The sequence below is a fragment of the Homo sapiens genome, chromosome 4, assembly GCF_000001405.40.
Source record: "Homo sapiens chromosome 4, GRCh38.p14 Primary Assembly".
Taxonomy (NCBI): domain Eukaryota; kingdom Metazoa; phylum Chordata; class Mammalia; order Primates; family Hominidae; genus Homo; species Homo sapiens.
Genome location: NC_000004.12, coordinates 129,792,244 through 129,818,752, shown reverse-complemented (window position 1 = coordinate 129,818,752; position 26,509 = coordinate 129,792,244). Strand labels below are relative to the sequence as shown.

The following is a 26,509-nucleotide window of genomic DNA, read 5'->3' as shown; positions in this document are numbered from 1 at the left end:
ATACCTTTCCTCTTCCTGACCTTATAGATTTGTATCCGAATCTAGAGATGCAGCTGAAGTTAAACAAACTTTTCTCTCCAAAATATGCTGAGATTCAGAAGCACAGATTGGGAAGGAGCTCTCTCTAAGGAACATACTTGGCTTTGCTGCAGTCATGACTGCAGAGCATGTACTCATGGGTCTAAAGCTTTGGCAGTTAAAATACTTTGAATACAGTGTGTTAGGAAGAGTTTTAATTGCAAGTAATAGAAAACAGAAAAACAATGAATCAGACAAATTTATCTTACACAGTAAAAAGTACAAGAAGGTAAGCCATTAGGAGTGGCAGTTCTCCTGCTCAGAAATCATCCGTACGTAGGATCGTTGCATACTTTTGCTTCATCATGCCCAGTGCATGACTTTTCATCTCCATGTTTATTGCTACATGATCGCAGAGATGGTGCTGCAACTCCAGGTATCACATCTATGCTCAGCATCATTTGATCATTTTATAAGGAAAGAAAAAGACATTCCAGAAACCCCTAATCCATATCACCACCAAATGACTTTCTTCCCCAGTGGGGACAGAACTGTGCCACAGGCCCAGCCCAAGATCTCAAGAAGGTTTTCCACCCTCTGTGGTGGAAAGTGGTAAGAGAGAAGGCTTCATCCACATAAATTAATAACTCACTCAATACTTTTTATTATTGAATGTGTGGCAGGATTTAAATGTTTGTATTGTTTTAACATTAAAAGCTGCTGTTTTATTTTCTTTCTTTCATTTATCATACAAGAATGAATTGAGAATGCTTTTTCTCTCTCCCTGAAGTTAAACTTTAAAGTCTCAAAGAAAGGCAAAGTCATTTTCAATATGATTCAGATCTGGGTTATATGAGCCTTCAAGACTATCACAAAAGAACTAGAGGACAGTTGCATTTGAGAAGAAATGAATGTGAGGGTGCCTCTGAAGGAAACCAGAAAAGAGGGGAAGGATCCTCTAAAAATAAGAGAAGGGCAGAGGAGTTAAGGAGGAGCTGAGGTTTGAAGTGGGACCCCACAAGTGATCTTGGAGAGTTTCCTAGAAGGGAAAGGGCCTAAGCCTGGAAAGTAATGGGTGGGTAGATACAGAAAAGGTCCTCCAGTTCCCAGTAGCCATTTGGAGATTGAGTCACCCAGGGAATGCCCAGTGTTCACTTTGGAAATTATTTCACAGGATTATTACTCATCAAATAAAAACGTGAAAATAAAAATCAGTGTTAAAGGAAGAAAATCAGTGTTTTTAAAAAATCAAATAAGAAGCCAAAGATAGGCTTAGAATAAGACAACAGAGAGCTCAATAAAGAAGGAATAATTATCAAAAACTGTCCAGAAGAAAACAGACTAAAATGAATTTTCTCATTTGTTACAAATTACTTTGTTTGATATGGAATTAGAAGAAAGAAAACAGTACAAAATTCAAGAAAAATAATTACTTGGAAAATTAGCTCTTATTTGAGGCTTTCGGTAAAGGGTCAGGACTCCTTTCTCTATAGTTAAGGTTTCTATTCTTTTCTAATTAGGGTTACAATGGCTCTTCTGAATTTACAATATACTTTTACAAACTACGGAGTTTCAAGATTGTCAGGTATTGAGCTTCTCTTTATCCCTCTCCCAAAGGCTGCTTCCTCTCATTTGTTCCTTTAGTGGTGACATATAAAGTAAATTGAATTTATGCTAAAACCTGAGTAGCAAGAACTGGCATTTCTTTCAAATAATATTCTCATCTACAGACATTCAGACGTGTATTTTTATAACCCTTTGAGACCTTTAAGTCTTTTACTCATTTACCCTTGTCTGCTTCTACTTGCTCCTCAAGACTGTTTTATGATTATGGGATGACCATGTTCCCACCCACAGAGTCTGAGCCCACTTCTCCTTAAAGCTTCATTTTCCTTATCCTCCAATGACTTTTGAGTTTGGGCAGGTGAACGTGGGGTTGTTACTGGAGCTTAACAATATTCAATGATTGATTGCTATTTTTTATCTTCATTATATGGGAAATGTTTATGCCTTACTCCATTACATTTTTTTAAGCAAATGCTGGAAAAGAGCAGTTGCTTTCTTCCCTTAATCCTGTAGTCTTATAGATCTCACCACATCATTGAGTCTGCTACTTCTATTTTTACACTTTTCATTTAGCACTCAACCTTCTGTTGCCTGATTTTCAATGCTGATGCTCAGCATCACAAAATAGACAGAGTGGTAAGAAGGCAGGAATGGCATATGTGTGCATGCACGTGTGCACATAGACACATACTCGCTCACACACTCACACCAGAATCTCTTGAAAAGAGCCAATTTTAACAATAAAACTGGAAAAGGCACACAGGAGAATTCTCAATTTGCAGTATCTGGTCCATTTGCTGGTCAGGCAATAATATCTAAACTTTTTGAATATTTCTACTGGTGAAGACTTAACTTTTATTTTTTGCTACTTTATAAGTATTTCTCCTGGCACATCAATATCTGAAATCTAATATTTTTGCATGTTGATTATTTCCCCACTTTCAGTTGCAAGACCTCTTTGCTTCTCTAAAATTGTTCCATTATTAATGATGTTAAAGTACTCAGTTTCAAAAGGTTAAAATAATGACTCATTTATTTTAACCTTTTCTTCTTCAGATTTTTTTTGTGTCTAGGCATTTATTTTTTACTCCTGCAATCATAGATCTCGTTTCACTTGTAAACACTCTGTGATTGAACTGTAGCTGGAGCTATTGGACTATAGTCAACTTCTCCCACTGATTTACATGTTGCAACCAATTTATTCATTTTGGCTTCTACACTGACTCTAACTTATCTTTCAAACTAAACTGAAATTCCTAATCATAAATAGTAAGTTAATTACGTCCTAATATCCCTCAAGTATAACCTTGTACTTACATATTTTCTATATTGTGATTTTTTTTTCTCCTACAAGTACCATAGATGGGGCATCACAAATCCTGAGCCAAATAAATCAAATTTTGAATCCCAACTCATGTGTAGAGAGCTGCTCTTCTATTTTTCCACTGGATTTTCTTACCCGGTTTTAAAAAGTCACTTCTTTCATAAAGCTTTCTCAAATTAATGCTGACTTTAGATAGTTAATCTAACTATCTAACAAATTCCATTGTTGTGGTGACCAGGATAATTGGTTGTCATAAACTGGAGCTAAAGACAATACTTACAAATATACAGAGAACAATGGTTTATCTCATCATGAATTGTAAATCTTTTCATACTGTATCCACAAAATCATTTCATTAACTGAGGAGCTATGCTGATTATAGACATTGAATGTGTCTTCATATATCTGTGCAAATGTTAAAATTTCAGAAATCTTGCATTTCACATCAGGAGGCAGGCTCAACAGATGCTTCCATATGCTAACACCCCTTGTTAAGGCAGAAGGTGTTAATTAAACAAATAATTTATAATAATGCATATGATTTAAAATATCAAAATGAATTCATCTGTTGTGTTCTCTCTGTGGTGGCTGCTAGCCAGGATGGGGCTTTTATTCACAATAAATACGTTTGCAGACCTGGTGTCACATGTATGAATGTGTACAGGTAAAAGAGTTAATATATTATAAATATTCTCATTACAGAGAGATTGCAAACTTGCCACAAAGAAACATTTCATGGAAAATTGACCGGAGATATTTAAAGTAGGCATAGCCTAGGGCCACACAATGTCTAATTAAGCCCTGGTATTATGGTAAATTGTTCTAGAGCCTTAAATGTGTGTGGTAGAAGTAAACCCATAGGACTTTGAAACTTACAAGAGGTGGGGCAAAGAGAGATGCTTCAAAATCTACTCTGACACTCAATGAGACCTTTGAGGGAAAGGATCAATTTTCTTGTTGAAACATCTCTTCCACTCCATTTCAAGTGTCCTGGCCAAATCCAGGGTTCTGTGCTCAGACTCACATTGGGATTCATAGGCTATAAAACTGGTACAAATGTGGGAAAGAATGAGCTATGGCTTTAGGAAATCAAATTTGTGTTTTAGGGGAATAAAGTCTACAATACCAAGAAACAGTGCCAGTTGCCATGAATAAGCATGGCATCAAAAGTGGCAGTCTGCAAAAATAGCACAGAGCAAGTGGCTTTAGTGGGTAGCAATTGGAAGGGATTCCCTGAGATAAGAGATAAATAGAATGTTTTTGAGGAGTTCATGTGACTCAGTTACTAAGTGGAGTCATGGGTGTGGAGGTGGAACTGATCAGGGTGAGTAAAAACTTGTCCTAGTTCAGATCCTCAGCACCTCAATACAGAAGTCAAAAACTCAATTTTTCCAGTTTCCTTCAATTCTCCCCTCCCTCCCTCCCTCTCTTTCTTTTCTTCCTTCCTTCCTTCTTTCCTTCTTTCCTTCCTTCCTTCTTTCCTTCCTTCCTTCCTTCCTTCCTTCCTTCCTTCCTTCCTTCCTTCCTTCCTTCCTTCTTTCTTTCGACAGGATCTCACTCTGTCACCCAGGTTGGAGTGCAGTGACACTACCTCGGCTCACTGCAACCTCTGACTCCAAAGTTCAAGCGATTCTCCTGCCTCAGCATCCTAAGTAGCTGGGATTACAGGTGCCTGCCACCCAGCTAATTTTTGTATTTTTAGTAGAGATGGGGTTTCACCATGTTGGCCAGGCTGGTCTCGAACTCCTGGCATCAAGTGATCCGCCCACCTCGGCCTCCCAAATTGCTCCAATTACAAGCATGACCCACCGCGCCTGGCCCATACATTCCCCTTTTCTAACTGATTCTATAATTACCTTTCTTAAATATGTGGCTTGAAATTTGATCCCCAATGTTGGAAGTGAGGCCTAATGGGAAGTGTTTTGATTTTGGGGACAGATTCCTCATAAATGGATTAATTCCCTCCCTGGGGTTGGGGGATTGTGATTAGTTCCCTTGAGAAGTGGTTGTTAAAAAGAGTCTGGCATCTCTATCCTCTCTCTCCTATTTACTCTCTCACCATGTAATCTCTGCACACACCAGCTCCCCTTCACCTTCCACCATGAGGGGAAGCAGCCTGAGGCTCTCACCAGCTGCAGATGGCCAATCTTGAACTTTTCCAGACTTCCAAACTGCGAACCAAATAAACCTTTTTTAAATATAAATTACCCAGCCTCAGGCATTCCTTTATAGCAATACTAAACAGACTAAGTCAGTTGTAAATGTGACAGTTTTTTCAGCTAGATTTTGAGATTTTGTGGGCAGAGATCAAGGGTTTTCATTTGGTATTTCTATCACCTGACCCAGTCTCTTTCACATAGCCAGGGCTTAGAAATATTTAAGGATATGCATTGGACATAATTTTTTTAATGAAGTTTCCAAATCTGTGCAGTTAGAGAAACACAAAACGGATGTTGATTAATTAATCACTGTCAGCTGAAAGAAATGTCTCTACTTAAATACCACAAGATTCTGTATTCACTTTGTTTCATCAACATTATGATCCATTCACAAAGAAAAAGAATAGTTAATATACCAGATGGTAGAATTAATGTGAATAAAAAATATAATAAATTAGAATAAATGACTCAAAACAAAGCAAAACAAAAACAAATCAATGTAACATGGCTAAACTTGAGAGTTTTTTCTTAATTACATTTGAGAGAAAGATTTAACTTCAAATAAGTTAACAGAAAAAATGTATTGGAAAATTTTAGTTGAACACAAGCTGTACAAGTCTCTCTTTTAATCTCATTACAAAGAGGCTATATAATCTGAGGGGCATGATAAGGTGCTTAAAACAATAAGATAAATGACTATTATATTAATTAGTGGTTTCTTGCCTCCAGAATCATCTTTGAGACAAATGCACACTGAAGAGATTTTCAACTTAAAACTTTTCTCATAAGAATCCAGAATCTACTTTGAGCAGGATCTTTATATTTTTATAGATTGTTATTAGTAGTAATAGCATTGTCATTGATATAAAACTTTTAATAGTAGCATTTGGGGTGCCAGTCTTATTACATTAACTTTAATACATACCTAAAATAGATGTCTGCAGGTTCATCTTGATTTATACCACAGTGTAATAGGTTTTCTATAGAAACTTTGCTTCTCTCTAATGTCAGTATTGTTTGTTTTCTTAGAAATAATGTAAGAAATAATAAGTTTTAACTTAATAATGCATATTGTTTTCATAGAATATCATACTACACAAAAATTTAGAAACCATTTAGAACATTAGATTCAAAGTCTGGAAATGGCTTCTAAACCAAAATTAAGCTATTAAACGGTTATTTTCTTAGGAGGTATTTGCACATATAATCAAGGATGAAATCTAATTACAGATTCTAAATGAGCTTTACTGATAGTATTCCATTATTAAATCAGTCTTCTGTGGTTATTGGAGTTTTTCATTCAACCATCTGTTGTGAAAATACAAACAAAACAGAATAATACTTCATTTGTGATTTCTGTTTATTTATTCTGCATATGTTCTTGCCCTCTAGTACTAGCACTTATTGATTTCACTTTTTCATTTTATAATGCTACACTGCCCACCAGGTGACCCATGGACTAGACTATGAGTCAGCTTCATTTACTGAAGTATATCCAGTTTTAGTGCAATAACAGGCACATAAACATGGGTGAGTTTTCATTGACTGAATTTTGAAAGGGAAGTAATAAGAGATGTCTTCTATCAGGTATTCCAAATTTACCCCCAACCCCCTTAGTACCTTGCTTTTTGACCTGGTACCCTCTGGCTTTGGGGTCAGTCGATCAAGACATCTTAGAAGAGATCTGGGGAAGAAAGGGGAGCAATTAAAGCAAATTTATTCTCCTGGCTTCCCCCTGAAAGCTCATCTCTGTCTGGCTGTGTCCTTTACTAGTCTTCTCAAAACAATGAGATCTACACAACTTTCTCTTCTTGGCATTCTGACTTTTTTAATTAGAAATTCATGGTCTAGATGTAATGGCATTTGCTATTTACATCAATCCCATCACATTTATTTTCACTTAGATGCATAGATGTGAAAAAAATTGGAAAATAAACTAAAAAGACTTAAATATTATAATCCTGGGTTTGGAGACAGCAAAGATATTATGCTAGGCACCTTTATTATATGCAAATATAACAGCATACTAGGATAAAACTGGCTTGACACTGAAATTGTCACTGTGAGTTGCTATATAGGGGGATTTTCTGTATACCTGTATCCCCTAGAAATTAAGGTGAGCATTGGCAGGAGATACCTGATCTGGGACTTTGGATATTGGCCATCTTCTTGTCTCAGTAACGCAACTAACATCTGGCAAAATTTGGCAGAAATGAAGTGAGTATATGCACAGGGGACAATTGATACTGGTTGTGCGGGAGGAATAAGCTAACAAAGAAACCTCAAACAGCAAGAACAGATGTACTTCCCAATGGCCATATCCCCTATGGAGAAAGCAAACTCCCTGCACTAAGAGACATTCTAGTTTGGTGTCTTTAGTTAGTAAGAAAATGGAAGTGATTGAAAAATGGATCAAAGACTTTGGTAAGAGAAATCTAAGCATGATATGATGCAAAAATGCTTAATGGTCTTATCAAATATTAATGGTAGACATGACTTTATATAATTCATGCTTATCTCATTTTTCAATTGGAATGAGTAACTTGCAGGTTATTACCCTAAGCCAGAGTGTTTTAGTCCATTTTCATGCTGGCAATAAAGATGTACCAGAGACTGGGCAATTTACAAAACAAAGAGGTTTAATGGACTTACAGTTCCACATGGCTGGGGAGGCCTCACAATTATGGTGGGAAGCAAGGAGGTGCAAATCACATCTTACGTGGATGGTGACAGGCAAAGAGAAAGAATTTGTGTAGGGAAACTGCCTCTTATAAGACCATCAGATCTTCTGAGACTTGTTCAGTATCACGAAAACAGAACAGGAAAGACCTGCCCCCACGATTCAATTACCTCCCGTTGGGTCCCTCCCACAACACATAGGAATTCAAAATGAGATTTGGGTGGGGACACAGCCAAACCATACCACAGGAGTAATTAAACTTTTTCTATAAAGGGCTAGTTACTAACTATGTTAGATTTTAGACTTTGCAGGTCAAGAGACAAAATTCAGAAAACTCTAGGTACTTACATAACAAAAAAATAAAAACAGATATCCACAAAATTTTAATTGAAAAAATTCAAAATATAATAATAATAAAAATTGAGTATAATTTCTGTAATACACACCTACTAATTATAATAGAATTCTTTTGGGGGGAAGATAACATTTTTGATTAATTAGGATTTAAAGTTAATTCCCTATCATCATGGTAGAATCATGGTCTCATTCTACAAAGTCTTTCCTTGCTTCGATAAAGCAAGTGCTCTTCATTCTGAATTATATCAGAATATGTTTCCTGCTTCTCTCTTGTTCAAACTTAATAGATTGCCATCACAATCTTTCTTTCACGTAAGAAAGCAAGTTAAAACCATAGCTTCTGTGGAACCCTCCTTGGGTTTCAGTTCCAGCTGACTGACTTGTAATCTTTGACTACTTACTTAACCTATATAGAAGTCTCAGTTTTTTCATCTAAAAATTACTGATAGTATCTACTTCACAGGTTCATGGTAAGGCTTAAGTGAGTTAACAAATGCAAAAGTTTAGAACAGTCAGTGCATGGCTATTGTCAAAACAGTGAATATAAATAAGTATTCTTCTTTTGATATTTTTTCAACCATATAAAAATATAAAACTATTCTTAATTCATGGTTCTCACAAAAACAGCCATAGGACAAGATTTGGCTCACAGTCTATGGTTTGTGGACTTCTCCTCTAACTGATCATAAGCATCACAGTATCCTCACTTCCTACTTTTTAGACATAGAGACTTACTTAACTTTCATCCTTTTAATGCAATTGAGATTCATCAGCAGGTGATAATTGCTACGTATCCACCTACATGGAAGGTTGTGTCAATGCTTTTATCAGAGTAATTTTAAACTAAATTCTATTCAGAAACTTTGAATTGAGAAATTCCCTTTGTTCTCCTGTCATCTATTGCCATTCACCAGGTATAACTCTCTCTTAATATCTTTCTTCTATATTACTTTCATTTCAGCCTTTGTCCATACATCTAGCTCCTTGGTTTATTTCTCCATCTTAATTTGAACTCTCTTTCTATATTCAGAAGTCAATACCATATCTTCTTCCTAGTGGCAGTTTATTGCTGTTTCTAGCTCATTGCATCACACACTTCTTCAAAATTCATTCCTTCTAATGCAAATCAAAACCACAATGTGATAACACCTTACTCCTCCAAGAATGGACATAATCAAAAAATCAAAAAATAACAGATGTTGGCATGGATGCAGTGAAAAGGGAACAATTTACACTGTTGGTGGGAATGTAAACAACCACTTTGGAAACAGTGTGGAGATTCCTTGAAGAACTAAAAGTAGATCTATCATTTGATCCAGCAATCCCATTACTGGGTATCTACCCAGAGGAAAAGAAGTCATTATATGAAAAAGATACCTGCACACAAAAATATGGAACCAGTCCAAATGTCCAGCAATTAACAAGTGAATAAAGAAAATGTGGTATGTGTGTGTATATATAATGGAATACTACTCAGCCATAAAAAGGAATGAAATAATGGCATTTGCAGATTTGCAGCAACTGGAAGAAATTGGAGACTATTATTCTAAGTGAAGTAACTCAAGAATGGAAAACCAAACACTGTGTGTTCTCACTCATGTGTGAGATCTAGGCTATGAGGGCACAAAGGCATAAGAATGATACATTGGACTTTGGGGACTCAGGGAAAGGTAGGGGGTGGAGAGGGTAAAAGACTACACATTGGGTACAGTGTACACTGCTTGGGTGATGGGTGCACCAAAATCTCAGAAATCACCAATAAAGAATTTATTCATGTAACCAAACACCACCTGTTCCCCAAAAACCTATTGAAATAAAAAAATTAAGCAGCCAAGGACAACACATTAAAAAAATTTCTTCTTTAATGTCCTCATAATTAGTCTAATGTTCCTCTCCATTGAATTCCTACGCATTCATTACAGAGTTTTGTACCTAGTTTACCCTATTGGTCACGCCTTCAGGGCTTGCTATTATCTTGCAGTTCTTTAATTTCCTTGTATTTGACACATGTAACAAACCAACCTCACAGATCCTGGACCTCTTAAGTTCTAATTACCTTTCCCTCCATTCAACTTTTTCCTTTCACCTATGACCATCCCACTGCAGAAACATAACACTCCAACTTTATAGTCTCACATTATTCCCTGTTAAGAGTATTTATTCAGTGATACAACAACATGATTTAGAGCATGATGTAAACTTATGACTAGGGTATTACTGTAGTCTGGAGTGATCACAAACACTTCCCTAAGGAAGTGATACCTAAGCTGGCTTCAGAAACATTACAGTTATTTGTGTTAAGAGGTGGGAGAAGAGAAAGAGCATTTCGGAAAGTGAGAAAAGCACATGGTGAAGTTGCTGAAGCAAGAAGAGAGACCAGTACACCCAAATTAAAGAAATTACTTGTATGGAGGGCAGAGTCACTGGTGTGAGATTTGGTTTGAGAAGGTGGCAGAGATCAAAGTTTAAAAACCATGATTAACGATTTCAGGTGTGTCTAGTTAAGTATTGAAACATTTTTTAGTTTCACTGTGAAGTGTGAATTGGAGAGCAGGAGAGAAGGAAGGCAAGACTGGGAGATTAGTTAAAATGATATTTCACAAGAATTTTTGGGAGTGGGAATAAAAAGTAGTAGATTTGAGAAATATTTTTAAGAAAAATGTACAGAGCTACATAGTTATTGGATATGGGAAATAAAGAAGAATGATATTTAAGCCTGAAAAACAGGTTTATAGCTGGAGCTAAGGCAAATGATGATGGCGTGTGTAAGGTACATCCAAAGGGGAGCACCTCTGGCAGCAAGAGAACCATGGGGCACAATGTGCTGAAGTAGATATTAGAAATGAAAATGGCAAATTTAGAGGAATGGGCTGAAGAAATAATTAAATGGCCCCCAGCATATAGATGAGAATTGAAAGAAATGTGAGGGTCTTACCAGACATCATCCTAAATCCTTTTTTCTTTTTACCTAGCATTTCATATTCAATCAGTTAAGTCCAGTCAACTCCATTTTCTAAATCTCTTTCCTATCCATGCTTCTGCTTCCATCAGACTTCAGGTGCACTGGTTTCGACATTTATCATCTCTTTACTGGGCTATTGGAGTCACACCTCACCCCTCAGTCTCACCCCTGTTCAAGTTATTTATCCACACTGCCATCAGAGAAATCAAACTTACAATTAAATGTACTATATTCCTCAACTGCTCAAAATTCTTGAATTGCCTTGCACTTCTATGAAGAGTGAAATTTGTATTTATTTTCATGGCATGCACTGCCCTATAAGATCTAGACCTCACTACTCAGCCAGCTCTTTACCCTCAATTCTTCCCTCTGTGGCACTTAATTCTTCAACAATCTGAACTGTAGTACTCAAACATTCCAAGTTTCTTCAAGGTTCTGTAATTGTGGGTTTGTTATTTATTTGGTCTCTTTTGCCTGGAAGATATTTTCCTATTATTCAAGTCTCAACAAGTAAAAGGAATTTTCTCTGTAAACAAACCTGTTCCTTTTATGGTCCCATTGCCTTTTGCATTTTTCCATATTTAGTGCTTATGTTTGCTTTTCAGGCCACCCACTATGCAGTAAATAATTTGAGGGCAAAGTCTGTGTCCTAGGATTTTTGGATCCACAATAACCAGTATAGCCTGAGAGGAAGCATTAAAAAAAATTCGGTTTTAAATGAATGGAAATTCACATTTAGCATTTAATTTGTTTTATTGCACATCAATACATTGGAACACAGCAAGTTATTTTGTGAGATTCTCCATTTCTGGAAAATTATCATAAACCCTATTTGAAATTTTGTTTATAAGAGTTAAAACATAATGACCTCATTTATATTAAATCTGTGAATTCCATAAGACCTTTATTATGGGCTAACTTTAGATGACATACTTTCTATTGAAATAGAATATTGTGTAACTTCTCTAAATTGCTGAAACACATGCCTTGAGAAGAGGCATGGAAGAAAAATGCTGCAGAAAAACATGATATGGAGGGATTTCAAAAGAAAAACCACAGTTGAGTGCAGGTAAAAATCTCATATCATACAACTGTGAATAAATTTCACAGTCTACAGTCTAATTACATTGTGCATTTCACTAATGGCTCTGTCCCCAGAGGGCCTCTTGGGAATCAACTGGCAGATTTTACTGGGCCCAGAGTGAATTTTAATGTGGTGAAAAGGTAGTACCTTCACAGTCTTACCTATTGAGAGATAAGATAGAGAGAAAAAATACATCAGTCTCCCCTAATAAACATTAGGCACTATTTTGAGATGTCACCTTTACAGGTAAGTAATTCAATCTTCAATTGCGTTTGTCCTTCACCATCAACATGCACTTTCAAATAGAACTTGTTTGAAGAAATGCTTAGTTCACTAACAAAGGTTTTGTGGGTCTTCTCCTCTGATTTTTAAGGAAGAATGTGTTACAGAAATATACATGTGTTAGTCATCCTTTCATGAGGAAAGGCTGTTTGAACCATGGTCCTTGTGTCGAGAGAAACCATTATTAAAGTGAATTTGAAATCCGCTTTAATCTCAAGGAGAGACAGTTGAATCATATGAAATTGCTGATTGTTGACCATTTTTGAACTACAAAATGGAAATTTGATATGGTTCAACCCAAATGTTTCTAGAGAAAATTTACAAGAGTGATCTCATTAGTTTATACGGCCTACCAACTCATATTAAGAATAATATTTATAGCTCATATTACTAAAACAGCATAAAATCAAGTGCCTATTTTAACAAGAGACAACTTTGATGTTTGTGAGGAATACCAAATATTTTCAACCATTCAAATTTAATCTAAAGGCAAATCATCTTCCATTAACTAAAAAGTGTGATTTCATATGTTTTGTGGAACATCAAACACTATATTCCTGAACCTCAATATATTTTAGTGGCAAATACTATGAATTTAACAAACCTTTGAGAGTTATTCCATATTTAGGGGAGTTTTGACAAACTGGGGTACAAATACTTCCTCCTTTCAGCATTTGTATAAAAACAGCATGAATGAAAATAGATGCATGCATGACATATTGTCGCAATCTCATGGGCAAGATTAACTAAAAATGAGATAAAATACTTTCTTCTTTCTTGGTGGTCCATTTCAAAAGAAAGCAAAGGTCAAGTTCAATCAACTGGTCACTTAAAATATTTTCACTTGACTCACTTTACATATTGCAGGCTTAGCAGAACTATTCAATAGATTGAAATATTAGAATGAGATTCCCCTAAATCTAATTTGTTAGCATCCTCTATCAAAATATTTTTGTGGTTTGTCGATTTTGTTAACTCTGTAACTGTCTATACAGCAGTGAGGATAGTTGTGCCAAGAAAACTGGCATACACATTTTCAAAGGAGGAAGATCTGAAACAGAATTGGATTGTTCTGTGTTTCTGTCACAGAAGATTTGAATTACTATCTCTATTAATTGACACAATTATGCATGTATTTTCTTGTGTAATAACAGGATGAGAGAACTTCAGGCTAATTGTAGGGTAAGCAAATTTCATTTTCTTTTCAAATAAATGTTAGCATCAAGATCACATGAATTTTTATAGAAGTTTCATGTACGCATTGTCTTGGGAACAGCACCAGCCCATCCAACAACTGGTATTGCTGACTCCGTGAGGCAGGGCCCATTTCTAAGTCATCGGCAAACTTCCATAATAGTACTGAACAAAGACACAGCCCCAAATAATAACCACACACCGAGTGAAAGGAAAGGGGAAAAAACTGTAAAAATAAATCCTAAAATCAACGGCTCCCAGTGCTTCCGTTTCACTGATTTTAGGTGGGACTTGGGAAGGGTGGTTTAGGTTTTTTTTTTCTCCCTGCCTTTACAGTTCTACAATCACAATGGCCCTCTAGTGGGATGTTAAATTAAGAGGCATTTTGTTTGTATTGTTAGCAACTAGATCGAAACAGTCACAGAGAAATGTTTTATTATGGTGAGGAAAGGACTCTTAATAAGGCTCTTAGGAGACTGAGTTTTAATGATGCTTAACACAATGTTTTAAACCACACACCACATCTACATGTTATTTCTTGTTAAATGCTGGTTATTAAACAGCAGGCTGGCTCCAGATCGCCTGCAGAGGGTAGCTAGGGTTAGTTGATACATCTCTGACAATTTGAATAGTTGATGGAGTGACAAGTGCTGTTTGCATTTAAAGGATTTCACATTTTAACGTATGCACAGTGAAACAGTATATGTTATTACCCAATGTACTTCTACACAATATGTTGAAGGGTTAAAGCCAATTAAGCACAATTGTAAGTTTCGATTTCTTCTAGATTTCTGTGCCTTCATCCAAACTTAACATGCTTAAGGTAGAATGATTTCCCTCACTACTTAACCCAGGGATCTCTGTGGTGAATTGTTGTATAAAACTGCAGACCAGAGAACAAGTAAGCAAAATGAACAGAATATGCCCCAAGGAAAGACATAAGCTATAAAGGAAGACATGCTTATAACTAGCATTTTTTTAACCATTTAAATGCTTAGAATGTTTTCATTAAAAAGCAAAGAGAACATTGTTTGCAATGTCTCTGTTTTTACCACTGTTAATTTTACAACTTTCTTGCTCTAATCTACTTCAACCCCTAGGAGAACAAGTTATCATTTGGGTCAAGCAGAAAACTTGATGTCAAGGAACTAAGGTATCCAGTTTTTAGATGCTAATTATCAGCATTAAATGTGCTTTCCTCCATGTAGCCTGCTTTCTCTTTACATTTTTTATTTTGGTATCCTGCTTCAAAAGTGTTTAATTCTCTTTTGAATTACAAATTCCCTGAAATCAGTGTGCAAGGACCCTGAAATCGGTGTGCAAGGAGAAAAAAGCTGTCTGCAGCTTGGAAGAGATCTTTATCTTGGGGATGCTTACAGGTGAAATCAATGGGTTTAGTCATCTCTTTGGTAAGTTTTGGAGAAAATCTATTATTTTACTTGTCTCTTTTCTCCTTTAGGTTTTTATTCCTTGCCTCTTCTCACCATTGCCATGTTAAGATGAAAGAAATAGGAATATGTTGTGAGCCCAGATGCAAAGGAAGTCTGCATGTAGCATGGGTCAGTGATTTCCAGTGGGAGGTTTAGTGGCAGCTCTTTTCATAATTTCCAGGATCAGAGGGAGAAAAGTCCTGTCTTTAAGAAAGCCTTGAGCGTTTAGGTTTATCAAAAGAGGAAACAGGCTTAAGAATTAGAGCAACAGAGTCTGGGAAGAGTACAGAGTATTAGGGGATGAAGACAGGTTGGTTAATGGGCACAAAAATACAGTTAGATAAAGGAAATAAGTTCTAGTGTTTGCTAGCATGGTAGGGCAACTATTAATAACAATAATTTATTGTATATTTCAAAATAGCTGGAAGAAAATATTTAGAATATTCCCACCTACTCGGGAGGCTGAGGCAGTAGGATAGCTTGAGGCCAGTTTGAGACCAGCCTGGGCAATATAAAAAGACCTCATCTCTAAAAAAATAAAAATAAATAAAAATAAATTAGCCAGGCATGGTGGCACATGCCTGTAGTCCCAACTACTCAGGAGGGTGAGGCAGGAGGATCATTTGAGTCCAGGAGTATGAGGCTGCAGTGAGCTATGATTGTGCCCTTGCATTCCAGACTAGGTGACAGAGCAAGAACTCCTCCCTACAAAAAATAAAGAGAGAGAGAGAGAAAAAATATTATTAACAGAAAGAAATGAATAAATGATGAATGTTTGAGGTGGTGGATATTCCAATTACCCTGATTTGATAATTACATATTGTATCCATATGTCAAAATATCACAGGTACTCTATAAATCTGTACAACTATTATGTATCAGTAAAATTTAAAAAAATAAAATCCTCAACCACAATGAGTGAACTTTAAAATCTGAATATGGTCATGCAAATGGCATGAGTACAAATGTGATGCATTACTGGAAAGAAATTGTGAGAACCACTGGCTTAAGTTTAAAGCAGGCTAAAATAAGTTGAATGTTTGCCCACAGTCCAGGCCACTCCAAGGCTACGAGATTCATAGGGTTTGGGATCAAACCTAGGCTCTGCATACTTAATCATTTCTTTTCACTCAGAATACTCCATAGCACATTTAAATTACATGTAATCGTACTGCTGCCACATGGACATATTAGATTCAGACAGAACTCTCAATTCTAATGTTATATCTAAAGTCCTTGGAATGAACGACAGTATGAACTAAAGAAACTCTAGTTACAATCCCATTTCTGCCACTGATTTTCAGGTTGATATTGAACAAGTCACTTAACCTATTTGAGGACAAGTAGATTCACTTCTGAAGGCAGAATAATAATGTCTGTACTATATTCATCGTAGAGTTAATGTGAGACTTAAAATCAAACTGATATAAAGTATAAGAATGTGCTTAGTAAAGCAAAGTAAAATACTATATAAAAGTATGAATTGTAATTATTGATATAACCAAATTATGACAAAAGGTCCAAAACACACAAGAATCTCCCCTTTCCTTGAGAGTGATATGGCCTGAGATAATGCACTGTTTATTCAGTTTCTTCACTTGGATTAAAAAAAATACACTTTCATTGCATGATTTGATCTATTGGAGACACTAACAAGGGGCTAAATGGTAAACAAAAGGAGGCCAAATAAGTTACACATAAGTCTATTCTGCTATAAGCAGCCTATATCAAATTTTAATATATAAATATTTTCTAATTAATTTTTATGACCATCTCCTGATCATATTAGAAGATTGAAGTCCTTGCCCTTTGCATGTTCAATAGACATATAAGCATTACCATAATACTTGAACTTTTATTTCCATAGTCTTCTCCATTTATACAATTCTATTTAAAAGCATGATTGTTAAGAAATTACAAATGTTCAATTCCTGGCTGTGCTACTTACTACTGGTTACATGATATACTGGATAGTTATTAACTTATCTATTCCTCAGTTTTCTATCTGGAAAATGGGAATAATAACAATGCTATTCAATAGTGTTAATTTGAGTCATTTGAAATTCAAATGAGTCTGTATATATTTGTATTAAGTGCTTCGTAAATATCAGCATTCAATGCTAATATCTCAGTAAGAGGCACACAATTCTTCAGAAAAAAAAAAATAAGGAGCTAGTCCTAGTTCTCTTTCCTTCATACTTGACAGCTATGGGCTCTTTCTTCAATGTATATCCTAAATCTCACCACCCTCACATCTAATATTTCCTTAATTATTACCAAGCTTAACTTTCTAATTTATTTTTGATCATACTACAATCCACCCACCACAACCACCACTGCCAGAATAATTGCTTCCTACTTCAAATCATCCAGTGGTTATATCTTTCCCAGGGTTAAGTCTCAATTTCATATTATGTCCTAATAGGTAATAAATCATACAAATGTCTAAGCATATTTATATCATGAGGATGTAAGAATACAAAGTTAATGTTTCTTTAACATAGATATTTGATATTGCACTGTTCTTGAAATGTTACAAGGAAAGATTATTTAAAATATCAAGATAAACTTTCAGTTATAAAATGAATAAGCTCTGAGAATCTAATGTACAGCATGGTGACTGTAGTTAGTATTATATTATTTACTCGAAATTTCTTAAGAGAGTAGTTCTTAAGTGTCCACACCACATATACACAAATGGTAACTGTGTGAGGTAATGGATGTGATAATTAATTTGACTGTGGTAATCATTTCACAATGTATACACATATAAATCATCATGTTGTACACCTTAAATATATATAATTTTTATTTGTAAGTTATAACTCAACAAAGTGGAAATATAATGAAATAAAATATGAAGGCATTGGATATACTATGTACATAATAACTGTCCTTAATGATCCACTTTAAAGGATGAGGAAATTCTTCTTAGATTTCCACAGATTTCTTCTATCCTCATTGCCATTTTATTTTTATGTTATCGTTTTCATTCTATCTAGGTTTTACAGCCTTTATATAACTAACCCCAGCTGTCGTTCATATGTATGTTCTTTATTTAAATATTCCAATGCTCAGAAAATTCCTCACTTTCAATAAAATTTCTCTGAGTTTTATATATTTTGTTTTATCTCTTGGTTGACTGGTTTTCGCCATCATGAAAAAAGAAGATCATTTTACAAAAGAAGATCTTGAAGATTCTTGCCTGCTTAAGCACAATTGCGTGTTGTTTTCATGGTCAAATGTCAACTTGAAAAGTTATAATATCCTTGAATCACAGAATTCCTATTCATGGCCCAGCATCCTGTGGATGAAATACAAATTACCTCAACCCTATATAATATGTAACAGTGGGGCAATTAGAATAAATATTATAAAAGCTTTCATTTGAAAAATGGGATATGGGCAACAGCACAGTAGCCATTTGCCTAGTACATCTACACCTTGTTGGGCCATGATACCTTGGCAGAGGTGGGATTCTTTAGGCAGCCAAATTGCTGACCTCGGATCCAGCCCTGCAGTAGGATCTCCCTTGTTCATTGTCCTCTGTAGTAAGACCTGTAATTGGCAATATAGGAGTTTATCTCTTTGGGAAATGTTCAGTTTTGTCAACTCTCCTCCTGTGGTATAAATTTTGTAGTCTGGGTATTGCTTTAGGATTTAACAGTCATAGAAATTTTCAACTAGGCTATATCTTTAGCAGAAACTCTTCTAAAATACCCTGTTTAGCTCTCAGTATATTTTCTTTACCTCATTTCCACAGCCAGATATATTGCCTAGAGTCTCGTTGAATCTAGGGGTATCTGGCTCTTGGCATTGTACTTCTTTACCTCTGCTATCATTTTAATGGCCTCTGTACTGAAGTGGACTCTACTAGCTCTGAATGAGAAGGGAATGATTATCTTCCCCTTGCACCTTGCTTTGTATCAGTTCAGTCTTCACAATGAGAGAAGTCTTCTTCAGCCAGGGACAGCTTAACAGGAATGCTTGCAGGTGGGCTCACATTAAGGGAGATAATGCTATGTTAAATCATATCTCCTGCTAACACCCCCAACACAGACCCTGATCACATTAACTCTTGAGGCATAAAATTGTGTCTCTCTTGGCATTTAACAAAGTTATAATTTGTTCATTTTCTTCTTTCAGACATAAAGCTCAATTCTCTTCACCTTCAGCATAAATTTGTCCCTTTCCTCTGGGATTTTAATGAATGCTATGAAAAGTAGACAACACAGGCCTATGTCATGATCTAAGTATCTGCATAAAATAAGCCTTAATTTAACTAACTTTTTAGGAAAAGCATAATGAATACTGAGACTTCTAAACCTGAAAGAGCAAGGTTCTCAGTATTCTCTCTGCTCTATATCCTCAGTTCAACAGGGTACATATTTTGAAATCTGTTGCTTTCAGGATACCATATAATACAGACTTCCAATCTTTCTCTAACATTAAAATATCTCAGTCTTTTGCTACTGTGAAGTATCAGGTTTTTTGAAGAAAAGTATAACTTGGCTGTATTTATAGAAGGATCTTTCAGTGAAGATGAGATAGAATTTGGGGAAAGTCTATCTCAAAATAACTTAACATTGATTTTGGTTCATGTATCTTACAGAGCAATGAAGAGTAACGGTGAGAGGAAGACAGTGAGAAAGAGAACTTTTGTATACAGTCTCAGCATTTATCAGGACACTGTTCATATTCAAATGGTCAGATAGACCAAGAAAAGAAAATGAACTGGGCAATCAGAAATGGATTAGGCTATCAAAAAAAGAAACCCAATATTTGTCTTTCTAAGTGAATATGATGTATCAGGATTCAGAATGAACAGTAACACAAGATCTGCCAAAATACTTAGAACACTAAGTTTAGTTCTGTGTCACTTAGGAATGCCTTTTCTTCCAATAATCAAAGAGCTGATCACAGTAGTTAAACAAATTTCATCTCCCATTGCAAGAGGTCCTGAGCAGGTGGTACGGACACTAGTTCAGCAGTATCACATGGCCTAGCTACTATGTTTGCTAGTTTTCTCTTCGAAGTAACAAGGCTGTTTCAGCTATGACAATCACATGCATTTTTAGTAGGACGAAAAAAGAAAAGAGAAATAAAACAGATCTCATTAACAGAAAGCAATGACTGGGAAAAATCACAGTCGACTTCCATTTATATCCCATGGGTCGAAATTGTGTGATACGGCCACTTCTGTGCAAAAGACAAGGATAAATATTAGGTATTGACTACCAAGGATAAACATTAAGTCTTGCCTTAAAGAAAACTTCAAGAAATATGACCTCCAAAATGTCACACAAAAATGCATAATAAGTATCAATGGCCTTAGTTGAAGTGGAGTAGGATAAAATATTTAACATAATACACATGGCATTTTAAATAAAGTTTCACTACCCTGAACCCCATACAGTCTGCCATACAAATTAGCATCATGTCTATGCTTAAATGGAATCATATTAGGCATAATATAAGCCTACAATGGCCTAAAGGATATATAATATAATCTGTTTCTCTTAATTTTGACTTATAATTTTGATAAAATTTTATCTTTGTATAAAGAATGAATACAACATATATTTGTAAACATATTATTTTTATGGAAAGATAAGGCCTACTTTTTAATTTATGCATCCTTCCCACATGCTAGCATACATTATCTCATCACATTTTATTCTACTAATTATTAAATATTTATTTTCTTAGACGAAAAAAATCAGAGACTCAGAACAGTTTGCCTAAAGTCACAGTATAAGATGAAGAACTTGAAATCAATGAAAACCCCTGCTGTGCCGTGACACCACAACACACTCTAATATCTTGCTGTATGAGAGAAAATGAACACCAAGCTCACCTCTTCCTTTATACTGAAGATTATGTTCCACTTACAACACACTGCTGGAACGACACTTAAATGTCACCCTCCCCACCCAATTCTCTTTTTTGTTTCCAAGCTTGAGAAAAGGTGTCCTCTGCCTCTGAGACATAAAAGCAGCCCCTTTTACCAAAAAATCAACATTCTAGATCACAGTTCAGCAAACACTCATTTCCCCCCAGGCTTTTGGCCATGTTTGCACTGTCTAGTGTTAGTTATGCATATCTTTCACTCGAGCGCAAGTTATTTTGTGTGCAAGAACTATCTTGCTTGTTCTTTCTTCCTGAAAATTTCTGTCTTTCTGGTTCTTTCTTCCTGAAAATTTTTATGTCTTTCTCTTACCTTTTTACCCACTATAATAAGCTCCCCTCTATTTATGAATTATATTTGCTAACCTTGCCTGAAAGGGAGGCCTATCTAGTTAGCCCAGTAGAACAGAATGTAGGTGAGGCTAAAGATTAAATGCTATAAGCTTTTCTAAGGTCAAGTAAGAGGACATGCACAAAATTTATCACAGTGCATATCCTCATATATGTGCAGAGTGCATATCACTCATAACAGAGTGAGTTATACAGAGCCAGTATATACTATTGAGGCAAATGTTTTGAGATGTGATTTGTGATAAACCAGAAATCAAAGAGGATGGGAATGGGACATTGTTTTGATTAATCAGACATTGGTCCAGTAACTCTCAGTACAGCTCATTACTTCAAGCAATTGTTTCCCTGGGTAGATTGATATCATTTAAAAGGACTAAAAGATAATAAATTTATATTGAATATATGTTTAAAAAGTATGTCAATAGAAATCATGTGCAACCTGATCTTTCCAGTCATATATTTCAGTCATTCAACATAAAAAGGCTATTGATTTTTCTCCCACTTTTTAAATGATGTAGCTTTTTGCCTTTTTCAGCATTATTCCACTATAATATTCCTCTGCTCTTTTGATGTTTCATATCCCTCCCCAACAATCTATTATCCCTTTTATTCAAGATATTGAACCACCCCCATGCTCTTGTCTTAGATGTTTCTATTGAGCTTCCATCCACCTATAATTCTTCACCCCTATACTTCCCCCATCCTCCTCTCTCCTGTTGACATTTCATCCTTTTCATCACTTGGTTACTTGGTGGGAAGGATAAAAATCAACTCAGGGTACATTGAACAACTGGAAGACAATCTAATCTTTCAATCTGGCCATGTTTTCTCAATCATTTAAGCCTTATGAATATTGAGTGCGATCAGTTTCTAAATAAAAATCTTTTTTTTCAGAAAAAAAGCATTAGAATGAATAACTTTTTCATACTTAGGTTTTGCTTATTAGTAGTTTTCTATCACTTTTGAACATTAATCAAAAGATAAAATAAAGGTGATTTTGTTTCATTTAGAATCAATGAATAGTTTTAAAAACCATTTGATATTACTTTCAAAGAACTCTATCTTCTAGCAAACTGACTCTCTTTACTTTAAAGGTTCCATTTTCATAAGTCAAGCAGCACTGTGAAAACTGGCTAGGATCAAAACAGTCTCCTAATCGGTCTTTCCACTTCATCTCTTTCAAATCTCATCTCACAGATTTTCTCTGCACATCAGTGCCAGAATTGTCTTTCTGAAATAGAGCCATATCTGGCCTCCTTCTGCAATAGACTGCATTCATAGTTCCTATGCAGTAGGTTTAGGCTCCTAGACTGGCATCAAATTTTTCTATCATAAGATCCATGACCCTTTTAATATACTTCATTCCAGTCATGCTAGCTAATGATTCCTTTTAATCAGTGTCCAAAACTGTTGAGCTTCTGTGCTTTTGATCACACCTTTACTCCTGGGCCGTGGCTCCACTTAAAAATGCCCTTCCTACTCTTTTCTTCTTAGTGACAACTTTCTCATCTTTCACAATTCAACCCAAGCTTTTTCACCTCCACAAAGTCTCTGCTTTAATCTTAGGCATAATTTTCTACTCTTTTCTTTGTTTTCTAGTTCTAATATTTACAGAAAATGTCAACTACAGTACTACTTCATTATTTTTTAATTGTTAACTTCCAAGGAAGTTTCTCTTAGGCTATAAATTTCTTGAGGGCAGGAGGTATGTCAGATGTACCTTTGAATATAGCATTGATTATTATACTTAGTGCATTTAATAAACTTATTAGAAAGTTGCATAATGAATATAAGACAAGTAAAAAACAAATTGTGAAAATTTTTTAAAAAGAGAGGCCGGGCGCGGTGGCTCACGCCTGTAATCCCAGCACTTTGGGAGGCCGAGGCGGGTGGATCATGAGGTCAGGAGATCGAGACCATCCTGGCTAACAAGGTGAAACCCCGTCTCTACTAAAAATACAAAAAATTAGCCTGGCGCGGTGGCAGGCGCCTGTAGTCCCAGCTACTCGGGAGGCTGAGGCAGGAGAATGGCGTGAACCCGGGAAGCGGAGCTTGTAGTGAGCCGAGATTGCGCCACTGCAGTCCGCAGTCCGGCCTGGGCGACAGAGCGAGACTCCGTCTCAAAAAAAAAAAAAAAAAAAAAAAAAAAAGAGAGTACAGAAATTAAGTGGAGATTAAGAAAAATGTCACCAATAAATAGAGATAAATGTACTATGAAGCTAGTCCTCCCTTCCCCACCTTGCATAGCACCTGAGAGAGGGAACATTTTGTGGCTATTTTCAAATATATTTATTTGAAAATAAATATAAATTGCACCCTGCGCTGTGCAGGGTACAATTGGCAAGCTCTTCTATTTAAGCATTCATGATAGATTGCCTAAGGGATCAGAAACTCTAAGCCTAATTTGTTATAACTTTTCTTTTTTAAAATATTCACTTTCAAAACTAATTTTACATTAATAAATTTGTTTTTTTCCTTAATGAGAATCTCCAAATTTTATAATCTTCAAACTCCAAAAAACAATTCCATTCAGTCTCACCAATCAGATAGGAAAACATGATAATGGGAACAAAACAAGACAAAAAAAAGTAAGTAATTCATTCATAAATTTCGCCTTATACAAAAATGGCGTACTAGCCTCAGTAGCATAAAATTTTTGAGATAAGACAGATTGTAGGATAAGAAAATTTAGTTTATAACTCAGGAATGTTTTATGAGTTAATTCCATACAATGTCTTTGGTATTATTTTCATTTGTCCCTTAACTTTATTCTTAAATACCTACTTTTCGTAATAATCTGGTGAAATCCCGCAAGGAAAGGCCATTTGCCATTTTTCTTTTTATTTAAGGGCAATATCCAGAATGTAAAACTTGGTACGGTAATATAAAGTTAGAGTTGACCCTTGAACAACATGTGGTTAGGATGCCAAGATCTCATGTAGTCAGAAATCAGCAGATAACTTTTGCCTTCCTCAAAACTTAACTTAGCTATCAATAGCCTACTGTTGACTGGAAGCCTTACGGATAACTTTAACACTGGATTAACTCATATTTTATATGTTATAGGTATACTGTATTTTTACAATAAAGTTAGCTAAAGGAAAGAAAATGTTATTAAGAAAATCAAAAGAAAAATATATTTACCATTCATTAATAGAATAGTAAATATGATTAGTGGAAGTGGATCATTATAAGGGTTTTCATCCTCATCATCTTCACGTTGAGTAAGCTGAGAAGGACGAGAAAGAGGAGGGGTTGGTCTTGCTGTCTCAGAGGTGGCAGAAGAGGAAGAAATTCCAATTATAAGTGACTCACATAGTTCCAACCAGTGTTCTTCAAGGGTCAACAATACATATAAGTCAAAAGCTTTAAAACTGTGTTCTCTTTCATTTTCTAAATAAAATTAAACTATATTACCAAATACTGTCAAAGTGATATGAGTTATAGTACTAATTTTTATTACATTATTCTAATTATTTTCAAAACATTTGGATTTTAAGAAATTGTTGGTATCAGATTTGTTTGAAATGGCTGTCATAGTTAGGATTTGACATTAGAAAAAATATAAAAATTTCCAAAACTTCTTCACAAATTTGATAGATATTAAGTTATTTGTAGTTTCCATTTCTCTTAATATCAGTAATATTATTCATAGCTCCAAAGCTTCATTTGTTTTTTGTGGAAAAATTGCAATTATATAAAGAATTTTATACTTATAGTAATATCTGCTATTTTAATATATTCAATATATCTTTTATTGAAGGTATTTGTCATGTTTTACTGCAATAATGTTACAAACCAAGGACCCCAAAACTCAATGTTGTACGAAAATAAGCATTTTACTCTTTTGCTTCTGGTTCTGCAGTCCCATTATGACTGTGGCTGATCTAAGTCAATTCATCTGGGCACCTTGGTTTTGAGCTGCATATTATCTGGGCTTGGCTTCAAGCTAAAGGTTAGGTTTAGATCTGCTACATGTGTCAAACATTACTCCGGAACCAGTAGTTACCCAGGAAATATTTTCATTGCAATGACAGAGCAGCACAAGAAAGCAGCAAATGGCAATGCCTGAAAGGCCTCTATTGGAAACATAACACTGCCACCTCCACCTACATTTCATTGACCAAAGCAAGTCACACTGCTAAGTCTAACTTTAAAAGGGCTGAGAAATATATTCCACTCCTACTAGACACTACTGAAACTCACATATCAAAAAGTAAGGAGGAATAAAGACTTTGAAATAATGTGGTATACATCATCAACCAAACTTCAAAAATTTTTAAGGCAAACCGATTTTGTTAGGCCAGATGAGAGGAGGTATTTTGTGGAGCGGTATCATATTATTAATGTCAGGAGTGCAGATCCCGTTGCCTAACTTCCTGGAATCAAATCCTCACTCCCCCATGTAAGCTTTAGATGCTATCTCAGTGCCTCAGTTTCCTCATTTGTAAAATAGGGATGATTATAGTTAATCTATTGCTGAAATTAGTTAAAAATATATCTAATAAAATAGTTATAAACAGACCACAGATTATAAATAGTTATAAACAGTTATAATAAAAAAGTTATAAACAGACCTCAGATTAAGTGCTTTATAATATGCATCAACTCTCTTTTTAATCAGTCACGAAGATGAATATTGCTAATGAAATATCCAGCAGACCTTAGGTTCATTTTAATGATCATTTACTACTAAATAAAGGGAAATTTCAACCAGTTGGCGGAAAGTGGAATGCAAATCTTAGGAATGACATGTCCTTAATCATGCATCGAGATCTCACCATTCTCCCCAAATTGTGTAACACAAGTTTCAGAAATGCTTGTGCAGCTGAGAACATCATATCAGATCCTGAGAGGTTTCCATTCAGACTGAGGCTATGAGTAGGAAAAAAACCTCCCTGCCTTCTGGGATTTTCTCTGGAACTCAGAGACGAAGAGCTGCAACAACTACAGTTTCCACGAGTGACCACATAAGAGCAACTGAAAGATGGAGGAGGGGAAATGAAAAACCATGAGCCAGTGGAAGGCTGTCTGGATATATGGAGCCAGATAGTCAAGAGACAGTGGTCTCCTTATATGCCAGCACGGGTAATAGGGTTGTGGTGTGGCTGGCTCTGGCCAGGGGCTCGTGTGTAGAGCTGTGGCATGCTCAAAGGGAAGCTGCAAGGGTGGCCCAGTGACATCCAGAATGAGAG

The 26,509-nt window shown here is 35.6% G+C and overlaps 1 long non-coding RNA gene across 1 annotated transcript in view; it reads right to left on the bottom strand.

Moving 5' to 3' along the window:
• The window catches only part of LINC02465 (long intergenic non-protein coding RNA 2465), a 183,750-nt gene that overhangs the window by 136,616 nt on the left and 20,625 nt on the right, over positions 1-26,509 (bottom strand). The window contains exons 3-7 of the long non-coding RNA NR_151713.1: positions 15,638-15,761; positions 11,605-11,749; positions 6,688-6,751; positions 5,993-6,091; positions 4,968-5,079 (exon numbers count right to left, since the gene is read on the bottom strand). This is a non-coding gene — a long non-coding RNA (long intergenic non-protein coding RNA 2465). The remainder of the gene's footprint in view (positions 1-4,967; positions 5,080-5,992; positions 6,092-6,687; positions 6,752-11,604; positions 11,750-15,637; positions 15,762-26,509) is intronic.